General features: G+C 44.8%; 1 protein-coding gene and 1 pseudogene across 4 annotated transcripts in view; both read right to left on the reverse strand.

The window, feature by feature from the left end:
* The window catches only part of CNOT1 (CCR4-NOT transcription complex subunit 1), a 109,876-nt gene that overhangs the window by 76,239 nt on the left and 18,396 nt on the right, over positions 1-15,241 (reverse strand). For all 4 annotated transcript variants that reach the window (NR_049763.2, NM_001265612.2, NM_016284.5 and 1 more), the window contains exon 2: positions 3,047-3,322. Coding sequence is in view for 3 of the 4 variants with exons in the window: in NM_001265612.2 (NP_001252541.1) it covers positions 3,047-3,148 (102 nt within the window). In the remaining variant the exon portion in view is untranslated. The remainder of the gene's footprint in view (positions 1-3,046; positions 3,323-15,241) is intronic.
* On the reverse strand, positions 1,221-1,880 carry LOC112268167 (transmembrane protein 254-like; annotated as a pseudogene).

Below are 15,241 nucleotides of genomic sequence, written 5' to 3' on the forward strand. Positions count from 1 at the left end.
ATCTAGCAGTGCCATCAGACCCCTGCACACTACAGAGCATGGTGTCAGGGGCCAAATGGAGGGAAGGACCACTTCTGGCTGCAGCATCCAGGAGGCACTCTGCAGTCCTTCCTTCTAGGTTCTCGGCATATGCTCCATGCCTGTGTGACTGCTCAGCCTGCCCTGTTCCGGACACTTGCTCATCTTCCTTATCTTTCTCTGTAGCATGAGAAATGTAAGTTTGAAAGGACAAAATTCTGCCTCACAGGTACCTAACAGAAGTGTGTGGAATTGATGTACGATGGAGTGTCACTTTATCTCGTTCCAGCAAGGTAGGAAAAAAAATTGGGAAAAGACAGGTAAACAGTGGTGGTGAGGGCAAGGTGTTTTCATCAGAAGGTGGGGGCAAAGGTATACATACTAAAAAGTCAATTTACCGCTGGGCACAGTGGCTCATGCCTGTAATCCCAGCACTTTGGGAGGCCAAGGCGGGCGGATCACAAGGTCAGGAGATTGAGACCATCCTGGCTAACACGATGAAACCCCGTCTCTACTAAAAATACAAAAAAATTAGCCGGGTGTGGTGGCGAGCGACTGTAGTCCCAGCTACTCGGGAGGCTGAGGCAGGAGAATGGCGTGAACCTAGGAGGTGGAGCTTGCAGTGAGCCAAGATCGCGCCACTGCACTCCAGCCTGGGCGACAAAGTGAGACTCCGTCTCAAAAAAAAAAAAAAAAAAAAAAAAAAAAAACAAAAGTCAATTTAATATGTGGCTTACCCCAGAGGACACAAGGGTCCTGACAGTCAAGGACCATAAGAAGGTAGCTGGAAGTCCTCTTGCCAAACAGGACTGAACAGCTAAAATCTTTAAATCTTTTTCTATTTCTTTTTTATCAACTGGTCTATTCAAGCTCAACCAGGGCATTTAAAAAGAAAAAAAAAAAAAAGGACTAAGTAGCTTAAATAGCTTTGAAGGACAATTTCTAGAAAGTAGAAAGATCAGCCAGGCGTGATGGCTCATGCCTGTAATCACAGCACTTTGGGAGCCTGTAATCACAGCACTTTGGGAAGCCGAGGCGGGCACATGGCCTGAGGTCAGGAGTTCGAGACCAGCGTGGCCAACATGGTGACACTCCATCTGTACTAAAAATACAAAAAATTAGCTGGGTGTGGTGGTGGAAGCCTGTAATCCCAGCTACTCGGGAGGCTGAGATAGGAAGATTGCTTGAACCCAGGAAAAGGAGGTTGCAGTGAGCTGAGATCGCGCCACGGTATGCCAGCCTGAGTGACAGAGTGAAACTCTGTCTCAAAAAAAAAAGAAAGAAAGTAGGAAGATCACTGAATAAACACTGCACCACCCTCCTCAACACAAAAAAAAGTTGAGAATGAATGTAAAAGTGTAAAGAAAACTTTCAGCTATCTTCAGGTTTGTGTTTGGCACTTTGATCTGTAAGCAATCAACATGGAGAGATGCTATGCCAAAGAGGAAAGTCTGCAGGAACCATACAAGGACTCTCCCACATGACTCAGCCAGGCAAGCCAATACCCACTGCACAGGAGGGTGTGATGGTGGCCCACCAAGTACTGAGTGAAGGAGTCCAGGGGCCCAAGGCTCTGATAAAGGATACTCCAAGGCCAAAAGACAACCCATGTGAAGCAGTCGAGCCCCAGGACCATGACCAGCAAGGGCAAGGGTCTGGCTGGACAGAAGTAGGTGGCAGCTGCACTGCTGGCTTCCAACTTCACTATCATGAAAAACCCAGACATGAAGTTCGTTGGGGAGCCATCCCCAACCCTGTTTAAGAAAAGCCTGGGAGCTAGGCGCAAGAGCTCACGCCTATAATCCCAGCACCTTGGGAGGCCAAGGCGGGCAGATCACCTGAGGTCAGGAGTTCAAGACCAGCCTGGCCAACATGGTGAAACCCCATCTCTACTAAAAATAAAAAAATTTGCCGGGCGCAGTGGCTCACACCTGTAATCCTAGCACTTTGGGAGGCCGAGGCAGGCAGATCACCTGAGGTCAGGAGTTCAAGACCAGCCTGGCCAACATGGTTAAACCTCATCTCTACTAAAATACAAAAATTAGCCGAGCATGATGGTGTGTGCCTATAATCCCAGCTACTCGGAAGGTTAAGACAGGAGAATCGCTTGAACCTGGGAGATGGTGGTTGCAGTGAGCTGAGATTGTGCCACTGCACTCCAGCCTAGGCAGCTGAGCAAGACTCCATCTCAAAAAAAAAAAAAAAAAAAAAATTAGCTGGGTGTGGTGGTGGGCGCCTGTAGTCCCAGCTACTAGGGAGGCTGAGGCACGAGAATCACTTGAACCCAGGACAAGGAGGTTGCAGTGAGCTGAGATCGCGTCACTGCACTCCAGCCTGAGCGACAGAGCTCAGGCTCCTCCAGGAGGCAGAGATTGCAGTAAGACAAAATTGCACCACTGCACACGAGCCTGGGCGACTCTGTCTCAAATAAAAAAAAAAAAGTAAAGAAAGGAAAATCCTAGCTAGCAGGTTTCTCAGGGCCCTGAGCACCAGCCCAAAGCCAGGTCAGACCTATTTTATAATTTCTATGGAAAATAAAAAGCTGTGAAAAATCTTTTTAAAAAAAAGATTGGGCTGGGCGTGGTGGCTCACGCCTGTAATCCCAGAACTTTTCGAGGCCAAGGCGGATCACTTGAGGTTGGGAGTTTTAGACCAGACTGACCAACATGGTGAAACCCCGTCTCTACTAAAAATACAGCCGGGCATGGTGGCACATGCCTGTAATCCCAGCTACTCGGGAGGCTGAGGCAGGAGAACTGCTTGAAACCAGGAGGCAGAGGATGCAGTGAGCCGAGATCATGCCACTGCACTCCAGCCTGGACGACAGAGTAAGACTCTGTCTCAAAAAAAAAAAAAAAAAAAAGATTGGGCTAAGAGCTCTTTTACAGATGATGATGACAGAAATCACTTGAATTAAGGGGCAAAAGTTAGTTACCTTTCATGCAACATGCCCACATAAATGTGTGGTTTTCTTTCCACTGTCTACTCATTCCTTTAATGGCACTTGTTTTCTGGCTAGTTTACTTACATGCTGTATTTCCTGCTGGCTGGCTCGGTAATTTTTCTTGGTTAAATTGTCCACCAGGTAGCTGATTTGAGACAAGGCCAGCGAGAGCGAGTCAAGATTCATTGCTGGTTGGGGCGGAAGCAGGCGGCCGAGCCCGGCGCAAAATCACCATTATTCCCCTTTAGTCACCTCAGAGGCAGGTTAATGCTTTCTTTGTAATTAGGCTATATCTGGTATCTGTATAATATCTTCAGTTCTTCTTTACCAGGGGTCTTACTCTGTTCTGAAACATGGCACCTGTTTAAAAAAACACACACACACAAATCCAGATTTTTAAATTAAAAGGAAAAAGGAGGCTGGTCCAGGCGCAGTGGTGTTTACAACTAATTGATCACAACTAGTTGCAAATTAATAATTAGAAGAGAATAGGGTTAAACTACCATCGTCTCTGTGTTAGTACCTAAAATGTTACTAATGACTCTAAAAAGATAGTAAGGTAGCTCAACCACTGTTGATAAGAAATGCCAGGTTTCTCAATTAGGCAGGGCAAGTATAAAAAGAAAATACATGGCTGGGTGTGACGGCTCACACCTGTAACCCCAGCACTTTGCGAGGCCGAGGCAGGCAGATCACAAGGGCAGGAGTTCGAGACCAGCCCGGCCAACATGGTGAAACCCGTCTCTACTGAAAATACAAAAATTAGCCAGGCATGGTGGTGCACGCCTGTAATCCCAGCTACCCAGGAGGCTGAGGCAGGAGGACCGCTTGAAACTAGGAGGCAGAGGGTGCAGTCAGCTGAGATCGCGCCATTGCACTCCAGCTCTGGGCAACAGAGCAAGACTCCAACTTGGGGGAAAAAAAAATATGCCTGTAATCCCAGCACTTTGGGAGGCCAAGGCGGGTGTGGATTGTCTGAGATCAGGAGTTCGTGACCAGTCTGGCCAACATGGTGAAACCCCGTCTCTACTCAGAATACAAAAAAATTTGGCCAGGCATGGTGGCGAGTGCCTGTAATCCTAACTACTCGGGAGGCTGAGGCAGGGGAATTGCTTGAACCAGGTGAGCCGAGATCATGCCACTGCATTCCAGCCTGGGTGAGAAAGTGGTACTCGGTCTCAAAAAAAGAAAATACTCATCCAAAGAGTTTCATTTTAGTAAGACAACTTGTAACACTTAAGATTTCTATTTTACCTATTTCAAAATAATTTCTACTATACCCTTTGGAAGCAGCAAGTGGAAACTTACTTAAAATTAAGGTTTGTGGAAGGAACATTCATCTCTCATTTTCAGACTCTCTTTCCATGGTATCTGCGACCTATTTATAAGACACTATGTATTCACTTTATTCTTTATGTTACTGCTTCAGAATCAGGTAGTTTGGTCTTATACCTTGGGATGTATGTTTTAGGTATTTGAATGGCTGTACAGGTAAGGAACTCCAGAAGCCAAATTGCTTCCTGCATTGCTGAAACTGTTCCCTGGGAGAATTCAGAAAGGGAAGCCCAAAGCAGCAGTACAGCTAAAATGACAGGATTATTATCAGTTTAACTCCAACCACCTGCTGAGTGAGAACTATTCTGTATAGAAAAGACAAATGTGGCTGTGCAGTGGCTCATGCCAAAGTGTTGTAATCCCAACACTTTGGGAGGATGAGGTGGGAGATGGGAGGATTGCTTGAGGCCAGGAGTCTGAGAAAAGCCTAAGCAACATAGTGAGATCCCATCTCTATTCTGTTGTTGTTGCTGTTGTTGTTGTTTTTGAGACAGTTTCACTCTTGTTGCCGAGGCTGGAGTTTAATGGCACGGTCTCAGCTCACTGCAACCTCAGCCACCTGGGTTCAACTGATCCTCCTGTCTCAGCCTCCCAAGTAGCTGGAATTACAGGCAACAGCCACCATGCCCAGCTAATTTGTTGTGTTTTTAGTAAAGAAGGGGTTTCGCCATGTTGGCCTGGCTGGTCTTGAACTCCTGACCTCAGGCGATCCACCTGCTTCGGCCTTCCAAAATGCTGGGATTACAAGCATGAGCCATGGAGCCCACATCCTGGCTAGTTTTTGTATTTTTAGTAGAGACAGGGTTTTGCCATGATGGCCAGGCTGGTCTCTTAACTCCTGAGCTTGTGATCCGCCCGCCTCGGCCTCCCAAAGTGCTGGGATTACAGGCGTGAGCCACTGCGTCCAGCCACAACACCCATTTTTTAAGAAATTCACCAAGAACCACTGAAACACAAAAATCTCTGAAGGAAAGGAGCTGAGCTTATCCACAGCTTCCTGTTCTGAAGTCCGCTTGTAATTTCATTACAATCAAAACTCACCATGTAAGATGCAGGAAACTCAGGAAGATTAAAACCCCTTTAAAAGGCCATTTAAAACCTTTATCTCTAACAGTTTCTTAATGTATAAAGGTTACACACTTTTATCAAGACAAAGCAAAGTTAACAGCTTCTTAATGTATAAAGGATACATAGTTTTATGTACACAAATCAAAGGTTCTACATATGCTAGTGCTCCATACCCACCTTAAAAAAAAAAAAAAAAAAAAGCCTGTGCACGGTGGCAAACACCTGTAATCCCAGCACTTTGGGAGGCTGAGGCAGGAGGATCGCTTGAACCCAGGAGTTTGAGGCCAGCCTGGGCAATATGGCGAGACCCTGTCTATTAAAAAAAAAAAAAAGTAAAATATTTTTAAGTAAATAATAAAAAGATGATGGATACACTTATTTTGTTCCTAATATGGCATTTTACTGGTCTCTCTAGTCTACTCTGATGACTTTTGGCTTCACAATATTGGAGTCCTTGAACTTTTCTTCTCTAGATTCACTTTCTTAGTAATCTACTTCAGTCCTTTTATTTTTTTTATTTTTTATTTTTTTGAGACAGAGTTTCGCTCTTGTTTCCCAGGCTGGAGTGAAATGGCACAATCTTGGCTCACTGCAACCTCCACCTCCCAGGTTCACACGATTCTCCTGCCTCAGCCTCCCAGGTAGCTGGGATTACTGGCATGTGCCACCACGACTGGCTAATTTTGTATTTTTTCTAGTAGAGATGGGGTTTCTCCATGATGGTGAGGCTGGTCTCGAACTCCCGACCTCAGGTGATCCACCCACCTCAGCCTCCCAAAGTGTTGGGATTATAAGAGTGAGCCACCGCATCTGGCCTACTAACAGTCTCATGGCTTAAAAAACCATCTGTAGGCCGGGTGTGGTGGTGCACACCTATAATCCCAGCTACTTGGGAGGTCGAGACAGGAGAATTGCCTAAACCTGAGAGGCGGAGGTTGCAGTGAGCCAAGATCACACCACTGCACTCTGGCCTGGGCAACAGAGCAAGACTCTGTCTCCAAAAAAAAAAAAAAAAAAAAAAAACCCATCCATAAATTAGCCAGGTGTAAATCTGTAATCCCAGCTACCCAGGAGGTTGAGGCAGGAGAATCACTTAAACCCAGGAGGTGGAGGTTGTAGTGAGCTGAGATCATGCCACCTCACTCCAGCCTGGGCAACAGAGTGAGACTCTGTCTCAAAAAAATAAAATAAAATAATAAAAAAAATTTTTTTAAAAAGAAAAAACCATCTATACCAATAACTCTCTCAAAAGTTCTATCTTCAGCCCAAACCTCTCTCATAGTGTCCAAATTTGTATAATATAATCTCTACTTCACATCTCAAATGTTTCATATTCAAAAAAAAGCTCCTTGTCTTCCCCCCACTTAATGATGTCACACCCTGCAAAGCACTCCCCATCTCAGTTGATGCTAGTTTCATCCTTAAACTTACTCAGGCCAAAATCTTGGAGCCAATACCTATAGCCAAAACCTATAGCCAATCTGACAGGAAATTATTTTGGCTCCGCCTATAAAATATAACCAGAATCCAACCATTTCTCACAATATCCAAGCTATGATAAGGATCATCATATCTCTCACCTGGATTACTATGCTAGCCCTCTAACTTCATCTCCCTGCTACACTTGCTTCCTATGGTCTATTCTCAACATAATGTCCAGAGAAAAATAATTTTCAATCATAAAAAACTCAAAACCCAGGCATGGTGGCTCACACTTGCAGTCCCAGCTACTTGTGATGCTGAGGCAGGAGGACTGCTTGAACGCGGGAGTTCAACACTGCAGTTAGCTATGATCACACCACTTGCATTCCAGCCTGGGATAACATACCTAGACCCTATCTCTACAATTTAAAAGTGTGTGTGTGTGTGTGTGTGTGTGTGTGTGTGTGTGTGTGTGTGTGTGTGTGTCTAAAACTCAGATATGTCATCCTGTTCTCAAAACCCTCCGCTGACTCAGAGTAGAAAGAAGCCGAAGTCTTTAAAATGTCCAATAAACAAACAATGGTTAGGTTAAGGGACCTAACCACTGATACTCTTCCAGCTTCCTCTTATACTCTTCTTCCCCTACTCAGTTCTCTCTGGCCACAGTGGCCTCCTTGTTGCTTCTCAGGTACACTCTCACCTTAATGCCTCTGCACCAAACTGATACCTTAGTCTGGAATGCCCTTCTTGTGGACAGCAATATGGCTAACTACCTCTCTTTAAGTCTTTACTCAAACATCACCTTCTCAGTGAAGACACTCTGACTATCCTATGCAAAACTGTAATCCCCACACCCCTGCCCCATGCATTTTTCCACATCATATAAACTAACACATATCATACTTATATTTTTAGTCTCCTCGTATTAGGATGTAAGTTACATAACAAACAAGTAATTGTTTACTCTGCACCAATTTATTATACATACTTCATGTCCCATAGTAAGAACTCACTAAATATTTGCTCAATGAATAGATATAAATTGAAGCTTAGGATTTTGTAACCTGTATTTTTACTCTACCAAAAAAACACGAAAATCCACTGAAATACTGCTAGTCATATACAACAATTACATGAGAATAGACAATAAGTGATTTAGCCTTAGTAGTGCATACTACACACAGCTGTAAACAGCCTTCCAATAAACCTCTAGCACTATAATGTGTATACAGAGTTTGGGTCACCATGTCATTATTTATAGGCCATTTTTAAATACTGTAACACAAAGCTATAGTCACTTTCCAACAAGTTCATCACAAAAATATTTATTTAGAGAATTAATTATTTTAAGATCATTAAAGTTGAGATTCCAAGATATTCATTCACTATAAGGGATTTGTAGCGCTGGATCATTCTATTTGTATACGCGTTGTCTACTATTGGCTCTTTACATGCCAGGGACTCAGATAGTTTTAATGATTAACTTCATATCCAGGCCAAAACCTTAAAAAAACACTGCAAAAGGCTGGGCGCGGTGGCTCATGCCTGTAATCCCAGCACTTTGGGAGGCCAAGGCGGGTGAATCACCTGAGGTCGGGAGTTGGAGACCAGCCTGACCAACATGGAGAAACCCCATCTCTGCTATAAAAAAAAAAAAAAAAAAATACAAAATTAGCCGGGCGTGGTGGTGCCTGCCTGTAATCCCAGCTACTTGGGAGGCTGAGGCAGAATAATTGCTTGAACCCGGGAGGCAGAGGTTGCGGTGGGCCAAGATCGTGCCATTGCACTCCAGCCTGCGCAACAAGAGCGAAACTCCGTCTAAAAAAAAAAAACAAAAAACAAAAAAAAAATTAAAAAAAAAAAAAAAAACCACACCAAAGCCGGGTGTGGTGGCTCATGCCTGTAATCCCAGCACTTTGCGAGGCCGAGGCAGGTGGATCACAAGGTCAGGAGATCGAGACCATCCTGCCTAACACGGTGAAACCCCATCTCTACTAAAAATACAAAAAAGTAGCTGGGCGTGGTGGTGGGCGCCTGTAGTCCCAGCTGCTCGGGAGGCTGAGGCAGGAGAATGGCATGAACCTGGGAGGCGGAGATTGCAGTGAGCCGAGATCGCGCCACTGCACTGCAGCGTAGGCGACAGAGCAAGACTCCGTCTCAAAACAAAAACAAAAACAAACAAACACACCAAAAATGGCTACCATTTCAACAAATCTCCCAATCTTCATTATTAAAAACACATATTGCTGGGCGTGGTGGCTCCCACCTGTAATCCCAGCACTTTGGGAGGCTGAGGCGGGTGGATCACCTGAGGTCAGGAGTTCAAGACCAGCCTGGCCAACATGGTGAAACCCTACCTCTACTAAAAATACAAAAATTGGCCGGGTGTGGTGGTGCACACCTGTAATCCCGGCTACTCAGGAGGCTGAGGCAGGAGAATCACTTGAACCCAGGAGGCGGAGGCTGAAGTGAGCTGAGATTATGCCACCACTGCACTCCAGCCTAGGCGACAGAGCAAGACTCTGTCTCAAAATAAAATAAAATAAAAACACATAAATACATCCCTCCAAAACTCCAGAGGACTTGTCATTATCATGCCACTGGTATTTCAACATGGGAAACAACTATAATTCTAAGGAAAAAGAAGCAATCATACAATAAAAATGCTAAATCCTTTCCAAGCAATAAATTACCTCTTTATTTTCCTTTTGAGACAGGGTCTCTGTCACCCAGGCTGGAGGGCAGTGGCACAATCACGGCTTACCGCAGCCTCCCTGACTCAGATGATCCTCCTACCTCAGCTTCCTGAGTAGCTAGGACTACAAGCGCCCGCTGCCACACGGCTAATTTTTGTATTTTTTGTAGAGATGGGGTTTTGCCATGTTTCCCAGGCTGGTCTCAAACTCTGGGGCTCAGCGATCCCTCTGCCTAGGCCTCCCAAAGTGCTAGGATTATAGGCATGAGCCACGGTACCCAGCCAAATTACCTTGTTTCCCTAGTCTTCTCACAGCACTTCTCAATTAAACGATGCACAGTGCAAATGAAAGGTCACTGACATTTGACAATAATATACTACAAGTCAACTGTTACCTGAACAATGATATCAAAAAATTTACCAACAATATGGTTATGATAATATAAAGTAGCCAAGCATGGTGGTTCACACCTGTAATCCTAGCACTTTGGGAGGCCAAGGCAGGAAGATCACTTGAACTCCAGAGTTCAAGACCAGACTGAGCAACATAGTGAGACAGTGTCTCTGTAATTAAAATATAAGAAATAAAAAGTAAAATAATGGCTGGGTGAGGTGGCACACACTGGTAGTCCCTGCTACTCAGGAAGCTCAGGTAAAAAGATCGCCTGAGCCCAGGAGTTTGAGGCCAGCCTGTGCAATACAGTGAGACCCCGTCCCTTAAAAAAACAAAAAATAAGTAAAACAGCAACTGAGGGGAACAAAGATTGTACAAGGCCATTCTCAGTACTTTTCCTAATACTAAAATACTACAAATCACCCAAAAATAAATGAGTGTAAAGATTATCTTCAGGCCAGGCGCACCGGCTCACGCCTGTAATCCCAGCACTTTAGGAGGCCGAGACGGGAGGATCACCTGAGGTCAGGAGTTCAAGGTCAGCCTGGCCAACATGGCAAAACCCTGTCTCTACTAAATATACAAAAACTAGCCAGGTGTGGTGGCAGGCACCTGTAATCCCAGCTACTAGGGAGGCTGAGGCAGGGAGAATCGCTTGAACATGGGAGACGGAGGTTGCAGTGAGCTGAGATCAAACCATTGCACTCTAGCCTGGGCAGCAGAGCAAGACACCGTATCAAAAAAAAAGAAAAAAAAAAGATTATCTTCATACATGCAATATGACACCCACCCAATATGATTAATATCCAATTAAAATATAGTTTTGCCATACATAAACCACTACCTACTGCAGAGCTGGGGGGGGGAAAGGATTATAAAATGGCATTCGCATTTTCACTAGAGAACACTATACAATATTACTAATTGTCTATTGAACATTCAATCTAAACAGAACCAAGAGTAGCTGTGGTATATAGTTTGTTAAATGTCAACAAAAGTATACTCATGACACTAAGTGACTAAGTGAAAAGCTGCAGAACTCTTGAATAGCATGATCCCAAATAAGGTCTCGATCAATAGCAGTTACATAGGAGCTTTCACTTAAAATCCCACTAAAAAAGTCCAGAAATCTACACACCTCCAAAAGTGTAACATATGGATAGTATTATTTACCGCAGCAGTATATGTCAGAGCATGAAAGATGGCTGGCCAGGACTAGGTGATTGGTGAATAAACATCCTGGACCGTGTATATAGTCATCTGTCTTTTGTTTAAGCACTTGTATATATACTACCTTTTGTTTGTATATATGCTCACATATATATAGTTGCTTTTTTGTGAAAATACTCACAATAAACAAGCCAATGAAAATGGCTATCTAGGCTGGGCAAGGTGGCCACGGCTGCAATCCCAGCACTTCGGGAGGCCAAGGCAGGCATTCACCTGAGGTCAGAAGTTCGAGACCAGCCTGGCCAACATGGAGAAACCCCATCACTACTAAAAATACAAAATTAGCTGGACCTAGTGGCATATGCTTGTAATCCCAGCTACTTAGGAGGCTGAGGCAGGAAAATCACTTGAATCCAGGAGGCAGAGGGTTGCAGTGAGCGGAGATCATGCTATTGTACTCCAGCCTGGGCAACAACAGCAAAACTCAAAAAAAAAAAAAAAAAGAAAGAAAGAAAGAAAAGGGCTATCTAAATGGGTGAGAAAAAAGGAGAAGAGATAGAAGTCAGAACAAAAATTCACTGATTACATCTTTTATTTTTGGTTTTGATTTCTGAGCCACGTAAATATATTGCATGATTGAAAATTTTAAGAAAAGGCCAGGCGCGGTGACTCACACCTGTAAACCCAGCACTTTGGGAGGGTGAGGCGGGCAGATCACCTGAGGCCAGGAGTTTGAGACCAGCTTGGCCAACATAGTAAAACCCTGTCTCTACTAAAAAATACAGAAAAAATTAGCCAGGTGTGGTAGCTAGCACCTGTAGTCCCACCTACTCAGGAGGATAAGGCATGAGAATCGCTTGAACTCAGGCCGTGGAGGTTGCAAGGAGCCGAGATTATGCCATTTCACTCCAGCCAGGGTGACAGAGCTAGACTCTTGTCTCAATTTAAAAAAAAAGAAAAAGAACATTTTAAGAAAAATAAACTAAAACACAAACAAACCTGAATGTCCAATTTGTATTACAAAACACAGTGAAACCAGGCCAGGCACAGTGGCTCACAACGTAATCCCAGTACTATGGGAGACCAAAGAAGGCAGATAACTTTAGGTCATGAGTTCGAGACACCCTGGCCAACATAGTGAAACCCTGCCTCTACTAAAAATACAAAAAATTAGCCAGGCATAGTGGCTCGTGCCTGTAATACCAGCTACTCGGGAAGCTGAGGCAGGAGAATTGTTGAGCCTGGGAGGCTGAGGCTGCAGCGAGCTGAGATCGCATCACTGCACTCCAGCCTGGGTGACGTAGTGAGACTCTGTCTCAAAAAAAAAAAAAAAAGAACTAAAAGTAGAACTATCATTTGATCCAGCAATCCCACCTACTGGGTATCTGTCCAGAAGAAAAGAAATTATTATACAAAAAAGATACTTGCACACGTTTACAGCAGCACAATTCGCAATTGCAAAACATGGAACCAATCCAAATGCCCATCCATCAACGAGTGGATAAACAAACTGTGGTATATATATACACAACGGAATAGTACTCAGCCATAAAAAGGAATGAATTAATGGCATTCGCAGCGACCTGGATGAGACTAGAGACTATTATTCTAAGCAAAGTCAATCAGGAATGGAAAACCAAACATCATATGTTCTCACTCATAAGTGGGAGCTAAGCTATGAGGATGCAAAGGCGTAAGAATGACACAATAGACCTTGGGGATTCAGGAGGATTGGGGATTCAGGAGGAAAGTGTGGGAAGGGGATGAGGAATAAAAGACTACAAAGTGGGTACAGTGTATACTGCTCAGGTGATGGGTTCACCAAATTCTCACAGATCACCACTAAAGAACTTACTCGCCAGGGGCAGTGGCTCATGCCTGTAATCCCAGCACTTGGGGAGGCCGAGGCAGGTGGATCACGAGGTCAGGAGTTCGAGACCAGCCTGACCAACATGGTGAAACTCCACCTCTACTAAAACTACAAAAATTAGCCAGGTGTGGTGGCACACACCTATAATCCCAGCTACTTGGGAGGCTGAGGCAGGAGAATCACTTGAACCTGGGAGGCGGAGGTTGCAGTGAGCCAAGCTCTTGCCATTGCACTCCAGCCTAGGTGACAGAGGGAGACTCTGTCTCAAAAAAAAACACAACAAAATACAAACAAACAAAAAAACAAAACTTACTCATGTAACCCACACCACCTGTCCCCCAATAACCTATAGAAATAAAAATTTTGGAGGGGTGGGAGAGACAGTTTCGAGCTTGTCGCCCAGGCTGGAGTGCAATGGCATGATCATGGCTGATGCAGCCTTGATCTCTTAGGCTCAAGTGATCCTCCCGCCTTAGCCTCCCAAGTACCTGGGACTACAGACACATGCCACCATGCCTGGCTACTTATTTTATTTTTTGTAGACACCGGGTCTCACTTTGTTGCCCAAGCTGGTCTGGAACTCCTGAGCTCAAGTAATCCTCCCACCTCAGCCACCCAAGGTGTTGGGATTATAGCCATGAACTATGTGGCCAGAAAACATTTTTAATTGGAAAATTTTACTATTCTCATTCCTTCTTTTATCATGAAGGAATATCCTTCTGGGATCACTTAGGGTGATATATATATATATCATATTATATATAATAATACATTAACATATATAATAATACATTAACATGTTACTAACATATACATTATCTACTAAAGTTGGCATTCCTATCAACTCAAACATTTGAGCCCTAACTATACACCATGTACTCACTTCAGGTATTATAGAAAACACAAAAGGAAACATTGACCAAGAGGCTTAATGTAATAAATACAGACTTTACTATAACACTATGCAACTAAGGCAGCTGTGTGTAAGAATTGGAAAGGGGAGAGAGGGCTATTTAAAATGCTGATTCCTGGCTGGGCAAGGCGGCTCATGCCTATAATCCCAACACTTCAGGAGGCCGAGGTGGGTGAATCACTTGAAGCCAGGAGTTCAAAACCAGCCTTGCCAACATGGCAAAACCCCATCTCTACTAAAAATACAAAAAACTAGCCAGGCATGGTGGTAGACACCTGTAATCCCAGCTACTCAGAGAATCGCTTAAACGCAGGAGGTGGAGGGTTGCAGTGAGCTGAGATCACACCAATGCACGCCAGCCTGGGCAACAGAGCAAGACTCTGCCTCAATAAAGAAATAAATAGGCCAGGCGCGGTAGCTCATGCCTGTAATCCCAGCACTTTGGGAGACCGAGGCAGGTGGATCACTTGAGGTCGGGAGATCGAAATCATCCTCACTAACATGGTGAAATTCCGTCTCTACTAAAAATACAAAAAATTAAAAGGCGGGGCGCGGTGGCTCACACCTGTAATCCCAGCACTTTGGGAGGCCAAGGAGGGCGGATCACAAGGTCAGGAGATCGAAACCATCCTGGCTAACACAGTGAAACCCTGTCTTTACAAAAATACAAAAAAATTACCCAGACGTGGTGGCAGGTGCCTGTAGTCCCAGCTATTCGGGAGGCTGAGGCAGGAGAATGGCGTGAACCCAGGAGGTGGAGCTTGCAGTGAGCCGAGGTCGCACCACTGCACTCCAGCCTGGGCAACAGAGTGAGACTCCGTCTCAAAAAAACATAAAACAAACAAAACAAAACAAAAAATACAAAAAAATCAGCCGGGCGTGGTGGCAGGCACCTGTAGCCCCAGCTACTTGGGAGGCTGAGGCAGGAGAATCGCTTAAACCCAGGAGGTGGAGGTTGCAGTGAGCCGAGAGCACACCACTGCGCTCCAGCCTGGGTGACAGAGCTAGACTTGGTCTCTAAATAAATAAATTTAAAAAATGCTGATTCCTAAGCACCACCCAAGACCAAGAGAGTCAACACTGCTAGAGAAAAGGAGTACAGGCTGTCTATTTTAAACTCCCCAGTCAGGCTGAGTGCGGTGGCTCATGCCTGTAATCCTACCACTTTGGGAGGCTGAGGCGGGTGGACTGCCTGAGCTCAGGAGTTCAAGACCAGCCTGGGCAATACGGTGAAACCCTGTCTCTGCTAAAATACAAAAAATTAGCCGGGCGTGACAGTGTGCACCTGTAGTCCCAGATACTCGGGAGGCTGAGGCAGGGGAATTGCTTGATCCCGGGAAGCAGAGGTTACAGGGAGCCGAGACCACGCCACTGTACTCCAGTCTGAGCGACAGAGCGAGACTCCATCTCCA

The sequence above is a fragment of the Homo sapiens genome, chromosome 16 (genome assembly GCF_000001405.40).
Source record: "Homo sapiens chromosome 16, GRCh38.p14 Primary Assembly".
NCBI classification, from domain to species: domain Eukaryota; kingdom Metazoa; phylum Chordata; class Mammalia; order Primates; family Hominidae; genus Homo; species Homo sapiens.